The sequence below is a fragment of the Homo sapiens genome, chromosome 4 (assembly GCF_000001405.40).
Source record: "Homo sapiens chromosome 4, GRCh38.p14 Primary Assembly".
NCBI classification, from domain to species: domain Eukaryota; kingdom Metazoa; phylum Chordata; class Mammalia; order Primates; family Hominidae; genus Homo; species Homo sapiens.
Window position 1 is genome coordinate 24,183,183 of NC_000004.12, and position 23,850 is coordinate 24,207,032.

Genomic DNA, 23,850 nt, shown 5'->3' on the forward strand with positions numbered 1-23,850 from the left:
AATAACACAAGCAAATGCTTCTCCAGGACTTCTAAGTGCCAGACACTGCTCTAAGCACCCTATATATATCTTCATCCCTGTCAGAGAGGAACTCTTATTACCCCATTTCATAGATGAGACCACTGAGGCACAGGGTACTCACTAAGTTACCCACAATCACTCTAGTTACAAGCTTGTGAGGCTCTGCAGTAGGAAGTCTGTCTCCAAAGCCTAGGCTCTTGGCCATGTTATGTCGCCTTCCAACCACTGAAGAGTTATCTCATTGAAAGGAAGTATCTGCGTTCAAAGATGGGCCAGAAGGAAGAAAATCAAAGTTAGGAAGTTTCTTTAAGGTCTAGAAAAGAGCTTTGTGATGGTCATTAGACACCCGGTGTGTTTCCAGCACCCTGGGAGACATTAGACTGTAGAGAAATCCAGGCTGATATTCAGAACAGACTTGCAGCAAGTGGGACAACATTCCCATGATATAAAATTATGTTATCATGTGCACTGGTTTCCCTTCCTCACTCTGCTCTTTCCTTCCCCTTCAATGACCTTGTTACCTATATCTGGAACATCTGATCTTGAAAAGGATCTACATGTGATAAAGGAAAAACGCAAGATTCAACTTAGTGCTTTCCTCACGGAAATTTTTTTTAATAAAATGTTACAGTAGTCCAGCTTCTGGGAAATGATCAGTTTGCAAGTTAAAGAAAAGATATAAAACTTCACTTGCAGTACGTAGAAAACTTCATTTACAAAACGGGCCTGGTGTGAAAACGCTTGCTTTCAAAAAAGTAAAACAAAGCTGCTGAATCTTCTTTTGCTACATTCCTGAAGGATATATTTCCTGGATATCTTCTGTCCAACTCTCTCAGTTGCACTTCTGTCCTCTGATATCATTAGGTGAAGTGTGATGTTGTAAAAGAACTGCTAAGCTACCTGGAATTGGGGATGAAAATTCTAGGATGCCAATGGATTTGAAACCAATAACAGCAATTATGATAGTAACAGAACATAATAACATGTTTGGCACTGTTTTAAGTATTTCACCCAGAGTTTGGTACTTTTATTATCCCCAATTTGGAAATTAGGAAACTGACTTCTTAAGGAAAATATGTAAATTTACTGGGAAAAAATATTCTGTTTTCCAGTGAGATAACAGAAGATCCAGTGGTGAGCATTAAACTAATTTTCTTTCCCGCCTCCCATGGGTCTTTTAAGAACTCTGAAACTAATATTGAAGAGATGTTTAAGAAATTAATCCACTGATCTTTACCAGGTGCTTAATCCATACCTGGTATTGTGGGAGGTGCCTTAGTTTTACAACTAATCTCATCAGGTTCCCAAGGGCAGAAATGGTGCCTCCCCAGGCAGGACCTAGTTGAAGGCTGCACATGCAGCAGGTATTCAATAAATATTAGCTGGTGGATTGGTGTCCATCCTCTGGGCCCAGCCTTGGCTTGGGCAGGTGAAAGTAATGATGCTGCTCTTGGTGCTGGTGGCAGTCTCTCCTCCTCACGTGCACCCTCTATTTCATCCTTCAGAGCTGACCTGAAATTCCACTTGGCTCAAAACACATAGAATGAGGCACTGAATCCCAATATGGCTCAAAGACAGCCCAGCTAAAATCATTTTCTAGGGTCAAGAAACAGCTTTCTTCAGAAGAGAAATGATGAGGAAGAAAGAGAGAGGGATAAGAAGCGGCAGAAAAGGAAGGAAAATAAAATAGACAAAAGAAGTCAGGAAAAAGAAGCCTCAGAAAGAGGAGAGGTGTGTCCTACTCCTATCCTCATCTGGGTTGTACTTTGAGGTGCTTGAAAGGCACTGTTTTCTGAGAATATTTTGTTCACGGTATAACAGGTGGAGAGGCTTAATTATTATTTTAACAATGTGTTCGAGAAAAGTACAGAGACTGATCTATGCAATTATTCTCCTCAAACACAGGCATTTGCCTGTTTTCACACATCTAAAATGAAATCATCAGATGTACCAAATGTTGACATTTTTCCCTCATGAAATACCAGACAGTTCCTGAAACTTGAGTAATTATGTCCTTCACCACCCTCCAAAAATAAATAAATAAATAAATAAACCTCAACCTGTCACAATGTAATTCCAAAATCATTACAATTCTCAAGTCATATACCTGTGAAACAGAGAGGTGGATGATTTTTCCTCTTAAAACTGAAGACTAAGTCAGGCTCATATTTACAAAGCAAACCTTGGAATTTTCCTAAAAGAAAAGAAAAAGATAAGATGAGCAGCCTCCAGTACCCTAGAAATGCTCATCTATAAAATTGCAGTATTCTGAACATACACAATCAATATGTAGCCACGGTTCCTTCTCAAGGGTAGAGATGGTGGTGTTGTATTTCTCCCCTCACCAGTACGAGAAGCAAGTTAGAGCAGCTGCCAACTTTCAGTTTAAAGATTAAGCTCTTTGTATGGGTGATTTATTGAATGTTTATAGCTAGAAAGAACAAATTCTTTTTCTTTTTAAGTTGATAATATTACTTTCTTTCAGGGCTCTAGAATTTTTAACTTTTTCCTCTCTTTTAAAGTGGTAAAAGCACTAATGTGTCATCTAGCATTAGGTATATCTCCCAATGCTATCCCTCCCCCCTCCCCCGACCCCACCACAGTCCCCAGAGTGTGATATTCCCCAGCGCACCAGCATAGCACATGTATACATATGTAACTAACCTGCACAATGTGCACATGTACCCTAAAACTTAGAGTATAATAAAGTGGTAAAAGCATTATATGTATGAAGAATCATCCCTAGGTCAGATTCTACTTACACATATTTGGAAAGGGGAGAGGAGGGGAAAAAAGAAAAAAAAATTATTAAAGTAATATTTGGCTACCCATGTACAGCAAGTTCAATTTGAATGTTCATGAATTTGTGGCATGTTAATATCTCTGCTGAACATGCCAATGATCAGCCCTACAAACTGTGTGCAGATGGGAGACTTTAGCCTTGTGTGGGGCACAGAGAGGGTGGGCAAAAGAAGAGGGCAGGAGAGACAGTGACAAAGAGCAAGAGAGAGATAAGAAACACACAAATAGAGACAGAGAGACCTAGTGCCAAATGTCTCAGGATGCAAAGAGGACCCTTCTGCGAATCCAGTAAGTTAGAGTCAAGCAACGTCAGAATAGGTATTTGGGTTTCAAATAACTTCACCTCTCGCCTACTACAGCTGTGCCTCCCATGAGTCAGGATCTTCTAGTTATTAATAACATGGGCTCTTCTGGATCGGACCACCTGGGTTCAAATCCATAATGTGCCACATCCTGACTGCGTGACCTTGGGCAGTGTATTCCCACTCTCTGGATCTTGGTGTCCTTCACTGCCTAGAGCCTACCTACCAGGGTTGTTGGGATAATTAACTGAGTATGAATGCCAGTAAAGGACTTAAAACAGTGCCTGTCAGGTGGTGAGGAAGGGCTCCATAAACATTTGCTGCTATTCCTCACACTCTATTATGGCGCAATAGTCTCCAAAGATCGGTTTTTGAGTACCCATTGGAGCCACTTGGAGCACACGCTCCTTTTCTGGGGCACGATGGCTCTTTCAACCCATTCAGTGCCTCTGGTTGCCAGAACCATGGGCAGGGCTGCCAGGAGAGAACAGCTACTTGCCTGCAAAAAAAAAATGAAAATAAAAAAATTAAAAAATTAAAAATAAAATTTAAAAAAACTGTATACCTCCTGGAACCACTGAGGCTGCTTCTGCACGTGCAGTCAGCAGCAGTTTCCAGATGAGCATCTATTTGCGGAAAAGCTTAATGTACCTTTTCCTTAAATACAGTTTTTTAAAAATTGCCAAACATTACTCTTCCTACAATGAGTATCATGCAACTGCAATTTCTGTTGCTTCTTTAGGGACTTCTAGCTTTTCAGGTAACCAGATGCCATGAGTACTAGTCCCCTTTGCCTATGCACTTTAAGTTGGTGTCACTTGGCATCTGCAAATGCCCTTATTGGCTCAAGGTGATGATGATGATGGCGGCAGTGGTAGTGCTGGTGATGCAATGATGATGGCTAATGTTTATTGAGCACGCTCTGTGAGCTGGCATTTCTCTAAGTGCTTCACCTAGATCATCTCATTTATTTATCATAGCCATCAGATGAGGGGAGCAGTCTTTTTATGCCCATTATACAGATAAAAACACTGAGGTGCTGAGGAATTTGGTAATTTGCTCACAGTCACACAGCTAGTAAGTGCTGAGTCTAGGATCTTCACTCTTAACCACCATGTTAAGCTACCTATAAAATTACCTAAAAGGAAAATCATGGGTTTGGAGTTCAGGAGCCCCGGGTTCTGGTCCTGGTTCTGCCATCAACTACCTTTTTAACTGTTTAACTTAACCTGGCTTAGGTAAGTTTACTTAAAATCTTTGGTTTCAGTATCTCCCTCTAAGAAAGAGAAGCTTTTACAGTAAATGTCTGCTGTGATCCCTTCAAGATCAACAATTATATGATCATTCATTCATTTATCCACCCAGCAAATAATAATGGAGGATTAGACGTCTATTAAAATATAGGCACTTTGTTGGTCTTTATGCAACATGGGTAAAAAATATACAGAACTATGTTCCCTTCATGGTTCTCATAGTCTAGCAGAGGAGATAATGTTAAGTAAGCATACCAGCAAATATATAATCACAAATGTTTGATAAATGCCCTGAAGAATAAGTACTGGAGTCCCTTGAACGAGAATAACATGAGGGATCTGATTTAGATATAGGAATCTTTTGAAGATGGAATATTTAAAATAAGGTTTGCAGGATGAGTATAAGTTGATTAATTAAAGCTTGTAGGAAAAGGTATTCCAGGTTGAGGGAACAGCATATATCCAAAAGCCTGAGATGGCAAAGAACATGCCAATTATCCTCTATATGGACTGTGTGCAGCTCTAATATAATTCCAATGTGTAAGGCAATGGCATAATATAATTCCAAAGTCATTAAAATTCCAGGAACTGAGGAAGAGCAACACAGCTAAGACACTGTGAGCAGGGGGAGAAAAATGGTACCAGATAGAGCTGAGAGGCAGGCAAGTGCCATATAGTTTGTGTGCTTGTCCATTCATGTCCTATATTCTAAGGCTACCTTAGAATCCTAATAACCGGTGCAGTAGGGAAGCCTTCCCTGTTCCCATCCCCAAGGACTCCATCTTCACATCAGGCTTTCCCCAAAGAAACGAAAGGTGAGTCTGGAGATCAGGCAAAGGCACTAACTCTTAAGGAACCCCTAGGCACATTATGAATGTATGTAATACCGCTGAACTATTAGTGCTTTGACATTCCCCTTTATCATTCTCCTCACCAACAGGGATGGTCCTGGGGGAAATGCAGAGTAAAGAAGGAAGAAATGAACTACCTGGATAATTCAAGTAAAGGTCCCAATGTGATCTTAAAATCTGACCTAACCACCTTGCACCCATAAGGATGGTTACTATCAAAGAAACTGAAAATAACAAGTGTTGGAGAGGATGTAGAGAAACTGAAACCCTCGTGCACAGTTGGTGGTAATATAAAAGGGTAGAGTGGTGGTGGAAAACAATATAGTGGTTGCTCAAAATATTAAAAATAGAACTGCCATATGATCTAGCAATTCCACTTCTGGGTATATATCCAAAAGACTTCAGCAGGGTCTCAAAAATATATTTATACACCCCTATTCATGTCAGCATTATTCACAATAGCTAAAAGGTGAACACAAACCAAGTGTCCATCAACAGACGAATGAATAATCAAAATGTAGTGTATCCACACAATCGAACATTATCCAGCCTTAAAAAGGAAGGAAATGCTGACACACGCTACAACATGGATGAACCTTGAGGACATCTTGCTAAAGTGAAATAAGCCAGTCACCAAAAGACAAACACTGTGTGATTCCACTTACGCAAGCTACTTGGAGTAGTCAAAATCATAGAGACAGAAAGTAGAACGCTGGTTGCCAGGGGTTAGGGGTTGCAGGGAGTGGGAAATGAAAAATCATCTGTTAGAGCTTCAGTTTGAAGCTCTAAGATGAAAACAGTTCCGGAGATGGATGGTGGCTGCAAAAATTACAAATATATTTAATATCGCTGAACTATATGCTGAGAAATCGTTAGAATGGTAATTTCTATGCTATGTGTATTTTATCATAATAAAAAAATTGAGGGAGGGAGACTTGATCTAAATGATTCAGAATGGTCCTGAAATAGATACCTGAATTCTCCATTCACTCTGCGCATGTAAACATAAACCCATCAGGAAGTTCCACCACACCCCTGAGAAAGCTGTAAGTGCTGTAGCTCGCCTTCTGACAAGACTATGAAATAAGAAGCACTTGGCAATTGTCCTCTTCACACTTCCAGGCTTTTCTAATGTCACCTCTTCCAGGAAGCCTTCCCTAATCACCTCTACTACAAATGAGAACTCCCCATTTTTTCACTTACATTCCTTGTATCACTTCTAGCATAGGCTATTATCTTTCTGGCTTGTATTCACAATTTGTTCATGTGGTGGGAAGCACCTTGAGAAGAGAGGCCACCTTTATTTAGTCCAAAGTCTAAGCACCCGGCACCCTCACTTTTCATGTATTTAGTTTAATGGATTAAGTCGTGGATAGCCCTATCTCTCTGTCACTGCCTACTATGCTCCACAGTGTCCCCACCAGACTGCCCTGAGCTCCCCACCAAAGAATTCCACCCAGCAGCAGTGCCTTCCACCATGTCCTGGCATCCTCCTCCCAAGCACACCTGCTCTGTATTTCATGTGTGCAAGCCCTTGCCACTTCCTGCTAGCTTACAAGGATGGGAAGTGGCCGATGCAATAAATAAATTCTTGCTAACGTAGTGCCTACTAAGGAGGTTATCTCCCAGGTAGCATGATGCTGTGACATGCTTGAAATGTCTAGGGTTTCAGAAGATCTGTACAAGTTGTGACCCTTTGGTCAGTAATCGGCTTCTTTGCTGCAATCCAGGCTTTGGTAAAATCACAATACATGAGTGGCTCCCAACTCCACCCATGGATACAACAGGCCTGTAAGTAATCTAAAAAAATAAAATAAAATATGGGCGGGTACGGAGGCTCACGCCTGTAATCCCAGCACTTTGGGAGGCCGAGGTGGGTGGATCATGAGGTCAGGAGATCGAGGCCATCCTGGCTAACACGGTGAAACCCCGTCTCTACTAAAAATACAAAAAATTAGCCAGGCATGGTGGCGGGTGCCTGTAGTCCCAGCTACTCGGGAAGCTGAGGCAGGAGAATGGTATGAACCCAGGAGGCGTAGCTTGCAGTGAGCCGAGATCGCACCACTGCACTCCAGCCTGGGCTACAAAGTGAGACTCCATCTCAAAAAAATAAAAATTAAAATAAAATAATATATAATAATTATCTCTATTATTTCCTGAATCCCCACAAACTCCCAGGTTCTAATCTTCTCAATGCCCCATTAACTAGGTTTTATTATTCCCACTTTACAAAAAGGGAAACTTAGCCTCGAAGAGATGAAGTGACTTCCTCCATGCCATGTAGTTAGTTTGTGCCAAAGGCAGGATTCAGCTGCAGGTCTTCACAGCCTGGGCATTTTCAATTCTACCAGCTCATTCCTCTAGAAATAGAGGCAAACTCCAGCCAGTGTTCAGCCCTCATTCCCTTCTCAAGCTCAGCCCATTTCCCACCGCTGGTGGACTACGATAAACAGCTGCAGCCCCTCAAGAGGAACATCAGTTTGTCCTTCATTGGAAAGAGGGTTTCAAATGAAGAGAAAGAAGGCTCCTGCAGGGTGCCTGAATACTGCCCTCTTCCATAAAATAGGGCAGCTCAGTTGTTCTTCAGATTCCACGAGATAAAAGGACTACACAGCTGCTGGATGAAGAAAGCAGCAGCCCCTCTATTTGTGCAGACCGTGGACAAAAGGCAGTGCTCAACAGTTCTCAACACAAACCAGTGACATTAACAAGGCATGAAAAAGTTATATGATCCCACATCTGTGAATGAAGAATCGAGCTGTATGTATTCTCGGAGCAGAAATTACAACTCATCTAAATAGGGTCAACAGCAGCTTGGACGTGAATGAGGAAAGAGAAATAGCATCCAGTAGGAGACAGGTACCAGGCTATGTATTTCACATACTTGGTCTCTGAGCTTCCTTCAGAGGGATGCATTAACTAGAGTCCTGCTGTGCAGAAAAGTAAACTGAGGCTCATGGAGGCGATTCGCAAAAGGTTACATGACTAGTAAATGGCAGAGTTTGGAGCCATGCCCAGGTCTGTCTAGTTCCTAAGCCAATGCTTTTTCCATTATACGATAATGTCTCGCCTTTGCATGCTTTCTGGACTCCATTTGTTGTGATTTTCAGCTGCTTGGATGGATTGCACACTTGGACATCCACCAAAAGCCGATCCTACATCTTTAGCCATCCACGTAAATGCTAGGCCAAATTCCAACCACCTTTTTAACAAGAGAACTCTCCAGCCTGAGTTATGGAGCTTTAAAAAAAGAAAAAAAAGAAGGAAAAGGAGAAAGGCAAAAAGTAATTTCATCTCGCAGAGGAGGCCTGTGTGATTAGGATGGGTGTGGGTGGCCACAGCTGGCACAGATAAAAATCACAGCCCATCATGAGAACAATAAGGCCATAACTCCAACTTCTGAAGAATGCCATTCATTTATTCAACAATTATTTTTGAGTGCCTCATTTGAACATAGCAAAGCACCGTGGGAGTGAGAAAGAAGCAAAAAGCTTGGGCTCAACCCTTAGAGAGTACACAACACTCCCATTCAGAGTTCTTGGAGACGGGGATGTGTACAACCATACCAAGAAACATGAAAACTTTCAGCCACGCCTCGATGGACACCACTGATCTGAACTTGTATCCCACCTCTAAGTTTATATGTTTGATCCATGGCTCCACTAGCATTTCTTCCTTATTTTCCTGTTCTTTCTTTTATACTCCTCTAGTTCTATTTCCCTACTGTCTGGTGAAATATGCAATGGAGTGGGAAAAATGTTGTCCTGGAGACAAAAGAACTATTCCCCATCCCAGCTCTGCAGTCCTCCAGACATGTGACCTTGGACCAGTCTTTGGGCCTCCCTGAACGTCCATTTGCTCACTGGTAACAGGATTGTAACAATCCCTTTCTCAAGGGTTATATGACAATTAATTGAGATGATAATAATACGAGAAAGTCCTCTGAAAATAGTAAACAGCTGGAAAAAATGTACGCCTTACCCCCAGTGCTAAGACTTATTAGATTACGTCAGTAGTTAATGTTTAGCTGAACGGAAGACCCTGCCAACTGAACATTATTCCTTTTGGTTTTCTTTGGGCAAAGGATGGCTAAGCAAAAAAGGAAAAGCAAGACAAAGAACAGTACTTTGTGAAATCTTCCCCAAAAGGACAGCATTGTAAGTCTGCCGTGAATAAAGAGTGTAAATTATATTCAGCATGATATAAGTAATGACATATCAATTAACTGTGTCAACAAGGTCTAAAAATATGCAAATTACTGTACTTCAATTAGAAAAATCTACATCCTTAGAGAATATTGTAAATCAGGAAATTTGGGAGACATTAAGAGTAATCAGTGAGGGAAAGCATGTACTTTTTGCTGTATCCTATTTTTATACATACATAATGAAATAATTATAGCTACACTGTATTTATGCCTCTGCAAAAATATTAAAATCTTAAGATCTTTACAATGATAAGTTAAATCTGTATTATGTTTTCAGACAACATTAATTATAAGAAAAAGAAATCTATTATCATTCAATATAAGTAAGTTGAAACTAATTTGGACATGTAAATTAGAAATGCTGTTTTTTTCAGCACCAGAACATTAGAAAAGAGAAAGCAAGAGGAGATATCTAGATCAATTACTGAGTCTATAAATGCAAATAGTTTAGCATATTTAAGTCGTAATGCAAATTTAAGGATGTTTAGTAACTTTTCTCACAAATATCAAACTATTTGGTATTTTAATTTTTTGGATGCCTTCTGATTTTCTTTGTTTAACATGCATTTATCTGCTTTTGATGGAGTTGCCTTTACCTGAGCTGTCTTCTAGCTGCAACTCAACAACACATAGCAGGACGCAAGGCCGGGAATGTATAAGGTGAAGTCAGTTTTCAATGACTTGGATCTCTACCACAGTAACATGGAGTGGTACCTTTGCTTTGAAATTCAATTTGCATCAATTCTAGAGATGCCAGAAGAATGCAAGAAAAAGGAACACATGACTCAAATCAACATCTCACCTCTCCCCAGCCTTCCCTAGAAGGGCATCGTGGCAGGGAGTGTCCCGCAGTGAGACCCCTGGGCAATGATCTGTTTTACCCTTCCTAATTGCAAGCTACCCAAGGTCTCATCAGGATCTGAAAATCTGACTGAAAGACACTTTCCTGAAAAGTTTCCAACTCTCCCCACTTTCCACACATAGGGACGCCATATATGTTTCAGGGCCCAGAGTTCAATGTCATCTTTTACAAGCTGTATCCCAACTCCTGGCCAAGTCAATTTCTTCCTGGGTTTTAGGAAGCCCTGGGCATTTTGATTGCTTACTGTTTTCCCCTTCAGCTGGGAGCTCTGTGAGGGCAGGCAATGTGCCTTTTCTCTGTTTGTGCTCCAGAGTCAAGCACAGTGCCTCCTACAGAGCAGAAACGTGCTCAAGAGTACACCAATGGGGCCAGGCATGGTAGCTCATGCCTGTAATCCCAGCACTTTGGGAGGCCGAGGTGGGTGGATCACCTGAGACCAGGAGTTCAAGACCAGCCTGGCCAACATGGTGAAACCCTGTCTCTACTAAAAATACAAAAATTAGCCAGGCTTGGTGGCATGCACCTATAATCCCAGCTACTCAGGAGGCTGAGGCAGGAGAATCGCTTGAACCTGGGAGGTGGAGGTTGCAGTGAGCCAAGATCGTGCCATTGCACTCCAGCCTGGGCGACAGGAGCAAAACTCCATCTCAAAAAAAAAAAAAAAAGTACACCAATGAACAACAGGAAAAAGAAGCAGTACGACAGACTACGGGAGGAAGCAACTCTCCAGTAGGAAGAATATATTTAATGTATTTTCTTAGTGCTAGGTATAGGAACTTCCATTAAAGCAGCCTGTACTGACTCAACTCATTTTTTTGGTTAATCCAATTAAATAACCAGACAGAGAGCTGATTTAATATAAAATGGGGAAGAAGGTGTTTACCTTGATACTTTAGCATCCTTTTTCTATACACCAACTCCACTGCTCCTCTCAATTTCCATGAGATCTTCACTGTCCTTGTGCTTTCTCTACCTGCTGTCATCCAAGTCTGCTTCTCTAGGAAACATCTGATTAAATCACTCGCACTAAGTATCAGAGTTTACCATAGCACCCCTTGCAGTTTTGTCATTGAACATGGAATAAAATGTATGTCAAAAGAACCAAGATCAGACACCAGTGGGCTGGCACACACGCGCGCGCACGCGCGCGCACACACACACACACACACACACACACACACACACACACCCCCATCAAGAAGTTACTCAATTTGCCTCTTCAAATGTTGGCTCTGATGGGTGCAGATATGTCTTAAAATGAGGCTATATGAAATGCCTTTAAAATGATTGTTTCATTCCTGGTAGGAACAGAGCAAGACAAGGGATGCTATTTCCACTGAGAAGAGACTAATGTGCAGCTTTACAACTAAATATCAACCAACCAAAATCTTTTCCAGCATACTTTCTCCTCTGGAGTAGAGAATATGGTTAGCTGTTGAGATCAAAACTAGCATTCTTCCTGGTTTGCCCAGTATAAATCCTGGCTTATAATAGTAGACAAATAGCTAAGGTATCCCATGGTCATACTGTACAATCACAGATAAAACTTGTGTATGTATGAATATATATCTGTATAGATACAGGTATGATTATGGATATAGATACAGATATCTCATCTACTCTGTTAAATGAATAGAGTACCTATGTTATATGGAAACAGTGGAGAGTACAGACTCTTACACCTGCTTTAGGTAAATCAAATCCCAGCTCTGTTAACTAATATGATTTTGGACTCTCTAAGGCTTAGCTTTCTTACCTGTAAAATTGAAAGAATAATTATTTCACCCATATAGCTGTGGTGAAGATTAAATGACATAATTCTAATAAAACGCCTAGTAGGTTTGGTGGCAAAAAGTAACCCTCAAATGGTTGCAATTATGAAGTATCTCCACAATAGTAATTATTATGTCTGCCAGAAGTTCTCACTGCAAAGGTGAGATGATGGTATTTCATAAGCTAGTACTTACCTCAATTTTTTGTGAGCATATTGTACATACTCCTTGAGTCCACATAGCTCAAAGTAATTCATCTGTTTTACTTGTTTAAGAATTTGGGAAGGTAAATACTCGGACCAGATTTGCGTAATTAAATGAATTTCCAGAAAAATGAGAACATCAAACAGCAAGCAGGGTTTTAAATAGCGATTTTAAGACCATAAATTCAATACTTATTCCTTATGCAAACCATCATGATATTGTCAAGCTTTTTTCTCTGTATTTTCAATTAATCCATATTTCCCTCCTCATATTCTTCCATTTTTCCCATTCTTTTCATTTTTATGCCTCGCTATCCTTATTTTTGTGTTCTAGATACTCTAGGATTTATAGCAAAAGCACCAGGTTCACATGTAGTTAAGGTTCTGCTAATGGATTATGCTAATAAAGAAATACACTCAAGCTTTAATCACCAAACTGTAGCTTGTACCTCAGAGCATCAAGGGCCACAAGAGAAGAAGTCCCAATCAACAACTGATTTACAAGTTGGGAAGTCAGGAGGAAAGAGACCACACTAAATCTCTCTGCTTCATCCAAAAGAGGCCATGGGGTTTCTCTCTATTTCATCTCATCTGATTTCTCACTTTCAGTGCTCAGGAATAGAGAGAGGATTTACTTGCCATGAGTTGTGATTAACACAAGTTAGCTTTGTTGAATGCCACCACCCTCATCCTGACGGATGGTGTACTAGTGTAGGATGGATATCAGATTGGAATGTGGATAAATTCTACAATGCTAACTGAGTCATAAATCTGTGTAAAAATAAAGGGAGAGCTAGGGAGGAAAATCAGTCTTCCCCTTACCACTCCCAGAGAAGGAGAGAAAAATGAAAACAGGAGAAAGAAATGCATGCTTTACACACAGCCCACCTTTTATTGGAGAGCCTTGCTCTGTATCCAAAGGCTTGGCAATTATTTGGCTATTACTTATCTTTAAACATCAGCTAAAGAGATCTAGCATTTTGGAAAGGTAATTATACCGTAATGCAGATGGTAGTAATAACAATTACCCAAGATAAGCCCTTGCAATGATCTTTACAAAGCAAAGCAAAGCAAAAGTAGCACTGACTCATGACGGACCTCCAGTGGAGAAGGCTGCAATGCAGTAGCCAGGCTGTCCCTGGAACAGTGACAGGCAGGTGCTATCCCTCTCATCCTCAGAGACAAGGCCAGGTGGAGGTTAAGCATTTCCTAAGTTTAAATAATTCTTGATGTAGGCACAATTCCTGACAGTCTTCATTTGATGGGAATCCTAGTCCATCTCAAATGCTAAACAAAAAGGTTTCTTCCTTTGCCTTGTAAATACCAACTTTGGCCTCTATTCCTATATCTGAAACTGCCTGCCCCTTGAATTTATTTCTGTGAGGAAGGATTTATCCTACAACATGATAGTTGTTGAAACAGGGGGATCTAATTGCTTAGAAATCATTAATTGCTATAAATAGATGACTTCTGGGAGTCAATGAACTATAAGCAGAAGAGACAGTGTGTTTGAATGTCATGCTTGAGCACTGGATATTTTTATGACTTGTCAGTGGTTCCATAAAAAACTTACACGGTGAAAGGTGCCTAGTCAACCTGTACTGATGGAAATTGCCAGTTAGAAATAGATTGTTCTTGTTTTAAACCTTGACCACCCTTCTAACAAATCAGGATGTGCATTTATGATGCATTACTAAGGAAAGTTAGTATTAGCCACCCAAGAAGGGGGGATCAAGGAGGACAGTGAGGAACCACTATCTATCTGATCTTTGCTATTTTCCAGGGCATGAAATAACAACCTGCCATCTACCTTTTGCAGGTCATTTTTATCACATTGTGGGCCAAAATGAAATTTGACCTCCATTTTCCAGCTATGCCAGTGATGATAAATTTAATACACACAGAGCAAATGATTGGAAGGCCCACAGAAAGTCAGATTAGAGTGGGATTATTCATTCCTGAATTTCCACAGAGGAAAAGGGCCTCTCTCTCTTTTGAACTTGCCTCATCTTCCTTCCTCCAGGTCCCACCTTGGTGCTCACACCTTGACAATCTGTCTTGAATAATTTAACATGCAAACTCCCAGCATTCCCTGTATGGCTAGGCCCTGTTGCTCCTAAGACTTAAAGAGGAAGGGAAATCATTTATCTGAATCATCCTATTCTGTGATCTGATCAGGGTCCAACAAAGCAATAAATACACACCATAAATGTCTCTTTCAAAAAAATCCAGCAATAAAGAAAGGTGGTGCCACCTTGCAAAGGAGAAAGTGCCACAGAACCCAACAATCCTGCATGGCTTCACCACAAGGAATGCAGAAGTCATCGAGCTGCCAGTTAACAGTTCCTTCTTCACAGACCTGATGAATTAGCTAACATCCCTTTTAGCTGTAGGGTTTGGTTTTGTGAGGAAAGCTTACCTTTACTTTTAGTTCACTTGCTAGAAAACATTGCTAGGTAGGAGACACTCGGACTTAAATTCACCCATCACAAAGCATAAAGTACTCTGGGATCTCTTTGCAGCCTGAAACATCATTCTTAAAATTCTTGGTACCTGGTGAAATTCCAACTGTCCTCAAATTCTTACTGCCCTCCTTCACTTCATACTTCTCAGTCTTACACAGACATACCAAAGCAAAGCAACTTTTGAAAGCAACTAGCTTCAGGGCTATCTAAGCATGTAAGCAAATCAGTTCTGACCAAAATGGTTGTAATTCAACACTGTCTCATGAAATACAAATGCCCATCAGATCTGCATAAATTGGAACCTCTAAATAACCAAAGTATTTGCTTATATCTGTTTCAAGCATAATATGCATGCATGTATGCATTCATCTCAAACTACAGTTTTGCATCCTGCCTCTCCTCTGTTCAGATCCATCCAATTCATTCATTCAGAATGAATTGTAAACTCCCTACCTTGGCTTACAGGGTCGCTGCTCCTACTTGGATCTCATCTCCAGTTTTCTCCCTTGTTCACCTCTGCTCCAGCTGTTTCTCCTAGCTGTTTCTCAAGCACATGCCCCCTCAGGGTCAGGGCTAGGGTTAGACTTGCCGTTCCTTCTCTCTGAGACACCTTTCCTCCAAGTGTCAACAAGCTTACTCTCTTTTCAGTCAGGTCCCCCGTTTAAAAAGTGCTTTCCTAACAAACCCTTTAGCAATTAGCAGCCCCTCCAGCATTCTCTGTCTTGGGTTGGGTTCCTCGAGCCTAAGGCCAGGACATGGAAGCAGGATGTTTATTTGAGTTGTGGTTCAGGGAAGCTGGAATAAGGGAATGGGGAAGGGAAGGTGGTATGAGAGAAAGCCAATAAAGGGCAGAAGCTGAGCTGGTGATCACTGTGGGCAATCAGAACCCAGCCTGTCTGCGAGAAGGGCTGGGGCACCTACAGGCTGGTCCTGAAGAGCAGCAGCAGTATAAGCAGCTCCTTACTATGGAGAACACTCTGAGCAGAAAGTGCCAGAGATGAGAAGTTGTCCTAAGCAAAAGACATCTTCCTCAGCTGCAGCTGAAGTCAAGGTGGGCTGAAGGGACATAAGGCAGGACAGATCAGCATCTGTTGCCCTCTCTGCCACCCTACTCTTCCTTCTTTCCCTGCTGTTTTTATCCCCTGGCAGGGTCTCTGTTGATTGGAAGAAGGATGTATACTGTCTGTCTCTTTTCTCTCCCCATTCCCACCCCATACACGTAAGCTCAAGAACAGAAAGTTAACAGACTGGTTCTCTGCTACATCCCCAACACTTAGAAGAGTACTTGGCAGGTTTTGTTGGATTAGCTTATTCATTTGTTTACTCATACATTTCCATAACAAACATTTTCTGAGCTGTACCTGGGCTAAATGCAAGGGGGTCAAACCTGAACTTGGTACATGTCATACCTGTCCTGGAGACTATCACAGTCCAGTGATAGAAACAGCCACAGAAAATAATAATAATAATACGTGATAAGTGCAACAAATGAGATCTGTACAGAGAACTATGGGAGCAAGGGGAGGGAACCACAAATGACCCTGGGGAATCAGAGAGAGTGCCACAGAGGACATTTTAATTGAGACTTGGAGAATGAGTAGGAGTTTGCCGATCAAAGGCAAGAAAGGCATTCCTAGTAAAAGGAATGGCTTTAGCAATGGTAAGATGGCTACATGACAATACACAAATCTGGGGCATAAGGCACATTGGCAGGAGTTGAACTTTGTAACAGCCATCACCCACGAGAAATAAATTCCTACTCAAAAAACAAAAGTGTAAGGCTCTGATGATACCAAGTGTTAGTGAGAATATACAGAAGCGGTCATTCCCCTGCACTGCTGGTTGAGATTGTCAATTAGTATAGCCTTTTTGGAAGACAATTGATCAATATCTAGTAAAGTTGAAAATATAATTCTCCCACAGTCAAGCCATTTCACTTCTAGGTTACATACCCAAGAGGAACACTGTTATCAGCAAAAGGTAGCATCTATGAGGACGTTGCTGACAGCACCATTAGTAATTCAGAAAAACTGAGGGGAAAACCTACATATGCACCAACACGAGAATAGGAATCTATTAACAGACAATAAATAAATCATGGAATACTACAGAGTAGTTAAAATGGATAAACTAGATTTGCATTATCAACACAGAGAAATAGATTGAGATGATAAATAATATTAAAAATATAGATAAATAATAAATAATGAGAGAAGAGAGCAAGTCATAGAAGGGATGTATATACAGCATGATACCACTATGTCAATTTGAAAACTCACCAGACTCTAGACTGTGTAATACTATTACATAAAAAGTAAGAGTATAGGTCAGATACAGTGACTCATTTTGGGAGGCCAAGGCAGGTGGATCACTTGAGGTCAGGAGTCTGAGACCATCCTCGCCAACATGGTGAAACCCTGTCTCTACTAGAAATACAAAAATTAGCCAGGAATGGTGGTGGACACCGGTAATCCCAGCTATTTGGGAGGTTGAGGCAAGAGAATCACCTGAGCCCAGGAGGCAGAGGTTGCAGTGAGCTGAGATCGCACCACTGTACTCCAGCCTGGGCAACAAGAGCGAAACTCTGACTCAAAAGAAAAAAAAAAGTAAAATTATAAAAACACATGTAGCTTTCTATAGAGTAGCAGTTACCTCTGAGATATGAAACAGGGAAATGGGATTGGAAAGCAGACAAATGGAGCTTTAATGTAACCAAAATGTTTTATTTATTAAGCAAAAAAAAAAAAAAAACTCCAGTAGAAACATGACAATTGTTAGCATTTGTTAAATATGGATACGGGACACATGGGTGTTTCTTAGGCATTTGCATTTGCTATATTATCCTCTGTGTTTTTCTGTTTAGAAAGATTTCAGAGTTTAAAAAATGGCCCAAGGAATTTCCCTGGAAAGACAGATATATTTTATATGGTTTTTCAATCTATGACCTCATTTGTATTGAAGTGACTCTGTTTTCTATGTTTCTTATTAAAACAATACATCAGACACTATTCACTCTATTCATTAATCCAATGATTTATTCACTCAGCAAACATTTATTTAGTGTCCATTATAAAAAAAGGTACCATTCTACATGATAGGGGATACCTACCAGCTAAAAAGACAAGACTCCCTACTTCAATGAGTATATTATCTGTTATAAAAAAGAACATATACATTCAAATAGCTCCTGAGCACTTAAGTATTTAGAAATTATATGCCATAAAACTACATCACCATAATGCACCTATTTTTATTAGTATGTGGCCAGTATCACTGTAAAATAAAATTGGAGCCATAAATACAATATCAGCTCTTTCATATCTCAGCAGTTGTCAAGGTCTAAAAAAGTAACTGCAGAAAAGAACCTTAAACAGTCATGTTATGACTTTCCTGAGGACAAGGGGCCAAAAGTTACATTGCCAACCCTCACCCCCACTAACACAAACACTTTGGATAGAAGGAGAAAATGAAGACAAATGGTGAATCCCTCCACCTGGGTGTTGTTCACGAGCAGAGTCAGCCATTTTTAAAGTCATATTGATTATTGCGGCTACTCCCCAGGCCCAGGCCTGAGAAGAAGCACTTCAGCCAAGTTTGTCTTATGTTCAAATAAGATTGTGGCTCAATATTCGTAGAATAGAGAAGGAGAACACTCACTCTGTCCCTTCTCTCTTCTAATTGCATATAATCTTCACTGCTTTCCTTGTTCATCTTTTAGATTATATAAGGAACATATAAATACATTATCCTTATGAAATAGAAAAACAAAAGTACACATAAAAATTATGAAAGTCTCTCTTCAATGCATTTACCTACCTTCATAAACATATATAATTATTTTTAATATAAGTGACTCATAATGAAAATAAGATCCTTTTTTTCCACTTAACAAATATTCTTGGCAATCTTTCAATGTCATTGCCTATAGTTCTATTTATGGCATCTTTTTAGCAGGTGCAAAATATTCTTCAGTTTGGTTATATCATTTTTTTTTTTTTTGAGATGGAGTCTCACCCTGTCACCCAGGCTAGAGTGCAGTGGCGCGATCTCAGCTCACTGCAACCTCCGCCTCCCAGGTTCAAGCCATTCTCCTGCCTCAGCTTCCCAAACAGTTGGGACTACAGGTGTGCACCACCACACCCAGCTAATTTTTGTATTTTTTGTAGTGACAGGGTTTCACCATGTTGGCCCAAGTGATCCACCCGCCTCAGCCTTCCAAACCGCTGGGATTGCAGGCATGAGCCACCAAGGCTGGCCGATATCATCACTTTTAAGCACTCCCATTCTGATGGACATCAGGATGTTTCTAGTTTCACTGCAATTTTTAAATAATATTGCAAATTCATTTTCCCGTGAAGCTCATTTCTACACAGTCAGACACTGTTTCCTAGCTGCTTCATATAGCCTGCCTCGGGGCCCAAAAACACAAGAGATAATGACTATGTTGTACTTTTTGTTGTTGTTGTGGTCCCACTGAACGTAACAGAGAGCCAGGCACATGCAAAGTTCTCAAGAGATGTTCATGAATTCAGTGCATTTCTGGCCTTGGTACTCCCACTGTCCCTAGTCTTCTGAAGAGTAGAGTGTTTTGGGGTGAAAGCTGACAAAGTGACATCTTCTACATAGTGGACACATTAATAAATACTAAATGACCCCCAAAACTTGAATATATCAAAGCATTGTGGCAAAAGGTTGGAAAACTGTCCATATGAGTCAACTCTCTTCTTCCTTTGCCCTCTGGGGACACAGGGGACACTGCCCACTCTCCCTGGGGCAGAGAGCCAGCCCATTCATCATTCTGCCAGGCCCCTCCAAGCAAGCTACCTGCCAGGCTCCTCTTGCCACTGTCTCTCTCAAGTGAGTCCAAGCGAGGTCATTACCTGGCAACATGAACTCTCCTTATCTCCCTGCCCCTATTTCAGAAAAGAGTCATTGACAGCAGGGATCCAGTGCCCCCTGAAGCCATCCCCAGGACAAACAAGCTTTAAAGAGTCCACAGTGCCAGTGACCTTTAGAGAGGGCAGGTCACCAAATCCATGGGGAAGAGATCTAGGGGGTGTCTGCCACTCGCCAGAAAGAGGCTCTTTCTCCAGAAAGGTTTGTGGCCCCAAAAGGGACTTACAGGAGCAGTTAGGGATCCATAACCAGACAGGCAGCTCTGAAAAGGAATCATTATCAATTTAACAGGTCACAGCTTTTAAAATCCAACCTGTGGTCCACACAGGGAAAGGTGAGGAGTGTGAGGAAGCAAGGAAACTTCCAGATGAGAGGTAGTGGATCGCCAGGCAAGTAAGAGCACAGAAAACCTTCTGCAGTTGTTTCATTAAGAATGACCAGGCCGGACGTGGTGGCTCACACCTGTAATCCCAGCACTTTGGGAGGCCAAGGCAGGTGGATCACTTGAGGTCAGGAGTTCGAGACCAGTCTGGCCAACATGGTAAAACCCTGTCTCTACTAAAAATATAAAAATTAACCAGGTGTGGTGGCAGGCATCTGTAATCCCAGCTACTTTGGAGGCTGAGGCAGGAGAATTGCTTGAGCCCAGAATGAGCAATGCTTGGGATCTATTCTTTCAATTCAGAAATAACAAACTATTTGAAGAAAGTGAAGCAAAAGATAGAAAACAAAAGAAAAAGACAGATGAGAGATAGAAAAAGAAAGAGAAAATAGAGAAAGAATAAAGAAGTATTTATGAGTTCATCTTTCAAATGCAAAGGCATAAAACGTCTTTGAATATAAAAATCCATCCTTTTGCCTGCAGACTCGCAGAGGGCGAGGCAATGATGAACCCCATTGTGAACATCTGATGCATAATGTGAGGATCAAGGAGATAAAACTTGCAAGTTGCTCTGAGCTCTTTGAAAGAAAAGGAACGTGCAAAAGAACTTACTTAGCGTGGTTTAAATTTTGGATTACTCAGATGCAGTGGACTTGACTCTATGCCTATAGGTGCTTTGAAGTGTTCATTTAAAAATGTATGGTTCATTGTTACTCTGAAATTAAGTTGCTAGCGTAGAGCATAACCTCCAGAAATACATGTTTAAGGGATTTGCTTATTATAGATATTGAACTGAAACCACCATTGAGTCAATTCCTGTGGAGCCTCTGCCTGAAAATGAGATAAAAGTCAAGATGTTGAAAACGAAATTTTAAAGGGTAAGTATAGTATCAGTTAGAAAACTTGCACAATCAGCCAGCTGACCAACAAGTACTTAATGAGGGCCTCCTAGGAACACAGCATGATGTCAATAAAACTCACATTGGGCCAGTAAAGAGTTAAGGGGCCTACAAGGAGCCAAAAGGGGCTTTTCTGCTAAGACAGCAGCAGCAGTATTTGATTGTAGTTGAAATATTCCACATGGAGTATTAGAATCTGGTCCTTTAATCAGTGCTAGTTGGCTGCACCACTGGAATATAGGTTCTTTGAGGGCAAAAAACCTTTGTATTCGTCACCATTGTATCTCCAGCCTGGTAAATAGTACCTGCATAATAAGTATTTGTTGAATAAATTAAAAAATAAATGTAAGACTGAAAGGGAGGGACAGGGAAGGAAGGGAGGAGGAAAGGAAGGAAAAGGGAGGGGAAGAGAGGGGAGGGCAGGGGAAGGGAAGGGAAATTCTTTCTATAGTAATTCTCCTGGAAACTACGCCTGGCCACATCCACATAACCCTGAGAAAGATGGAAGCAGAGAGTAAGAACTGGCGGGGGAGGTGTAAATATCAGAGTGAGTGCCAAAGGCATCACCCTTCCTTTGCGACTCAGTAACATTTTGTCCACAACTCCCTTGCACTTACCTCTGTGTACCATATTAGTTGTTTATGGGGTGGTTTACCTGGGCATTCCTGTTGAGATAGGGGGCCTGACAGACACATACCTAGAGACCATTCACGTTTTTTTGTTTGGTTGTTTGGTTTTTTGTTTGAGACGGGGTCTCACTCTGTCACCCAGGCTGGAATGCAGTGGCGCAATCCCGGCTCACCGCAACCTCTACCTCACGGGTCCAAGCAATTCTCAGTTTCAGTCTCCCAAGTAGCTAGGATACAAGCACCCGCCACCACGCCCAGCTAATTGTTCTTGTATTTTTAGTAGAGATGGGGTTTCATCATGTTGGCCAGGCTGGTCTCCAACTTCTGACCTCAAGTGATCCACCCACCTCAGCCTTCCAAAGTTCTGGGATTACAGGCATGAGCCTCCGCACCCAGCCTCATGCAAGTTTATAACTGAGTGTCAGCAGCAGGAAAACTGCATGCAACAGAAACCATGTGTTCTTCTTACATTTTGATAAGGTGGGCACCCTGTATATCTAGTGATATTGATCCCGGAGCATCTTAAAAGCATCACCCAGTCCCTTGTATCCCATACTGAATCATTTCACTCATCTCTGTAGTCCCTTAGAACATAATAAGAGCTCAATATATACTTTTTCGATGAGTAGAAACTTCCTTTTAGACCAGACTGAGAGTGGTCACCGCCAGTATGATCAAGAGAGTCAAGACCAGAAGGAAGACAAAATTAGCCAGAACCACTGGCTGAAAAACTAGAGTCCCCAACCAAAATGAGAGGCTTCAGGTATAAAGGTACATGTTTACTATAATATACATATATTTAGCAGAGAATTTGTTATAAAAATTATGATGTGAAATTAGAAGAAGGTGAAACTTAAATAAGCAAATGTTCAAAATGTGCACCTTTGACCTGCCCTCACAGGAACCCTGCACACACCCACACGCTCCGATCTTATCCTTCCAACCTGAACAGGAGGGATCCATCTTTAGGCTGGAATATGATCACTATATGGTGCAGTTTTTGCTCCAAACACAACACCCATATACAAAAAACTAAAGTCAGAGTCAGAATCTTTGAGATTCATTCTGCTGCAGGTTCATATTGGAATGTCTGTGACTACAGTTAATAAACTATACATTTTCTGTATCAAATAATCCATATTCAGTAAGCACAATATATGGCTAAACATAAGAAACCTCTGACAATCAAGATTTAAAGTAGGTTTGGAGGAAGCAAACTTTGAATTATTAAAACTCAGCTCTAAAAGGCAAGGCAAAGTCCAGCCAAGATCCTTTTCATGGCTGAAGGCAACTATATCTCCATTCTGTGGGCTGAGGGCAAAAATGTCTCCCTGCCAAGGTCAAGAGTTGAAGGTGAATTTCAATAAATCACCTGGGTCTTTTATGCCTGAAACAAGCCTTTGCTAAAGATGTAGGCATTTTAATAAAAAAATAAAGGGCCAAATAACCCAAGCCATTTTGCTTAGTGAAGAAGCTACGTTAAGATACCACAGAAGGAAGTGTAGGCAAATGATGAAAGTATGAGACCTAAAACAAGTACCCGGACCAGAGCCTTCTCACCTAAATTAAGAAGTCTTCAGTTATGTGTAACAAAAATAATGAAAACAAGCTAAATTTCTAATAATAGAAAAATGTCTCAATTATCTCACCAATGAAAATATGAAGCTGCTATAAATTTGCAATAACACAGAAACATGACTATAAGTTACATGAAAGAAAAATCAGGATACAATAATATTTGCGCAGTATTGTCTCAACTGTCCTACTTGAACTTAACTATAAAAAAAGCCAAAGACCATATAAAAAATACTAACATTGGAGGCCAGGGGGCATGGTGGCTCATGCCCATAATCCCAGCACTTTGGGAGGCTGAGGCAGGTTGATCACTTGAGGCCAGGAGTTCGAGACCAGCCTGGCCAACATGGTGAAACTCCACCTCTACTAAATACACACACAAAAAAATAATAGCTGGGGGTAGTGGCACGTGCCTGTAATCCCAGCTACTCAGGAGGCTGAGGCAGAAGAATCTCTTGAACCTGGGAGGTGGAGGCTGCAGTGAGCCAAGATTGCAACCACTGCATTCCAGTCTGGGTGACGGAGAAAGACTTCACCTTAAAAAAAAAAAAAAAAAAAAAAAAAAAAAAAAAAAGCTAACATTGGGTTGCAATGTTACATGTTTTAAATTTTCCTTTGATTTTTATATTTTTCTATATTTTTCACATTTTTTTACAATTGGTAGGGAGAAAAGAAGCTTTAAACCCTCCGTCTCTCAGTTGTTTACTTCCTTTGAATCACAATGTCCTTCC

General features: G+C 40.9%; 1 protein-coding gene across 12 annotated transcripts in view; it reads right to left on the reverse strand.

Moving 5' to 3' along the window:
* The window catches only part of PPARGC1A (PPARG coactivator 1 alpha), a 680,885-nt gene that overhangs the window by 391,162 nt on the left and 265,873 nt on the right, over window positions 1–23,850 (reverse strand). The window lies entirely within an intron of this gene.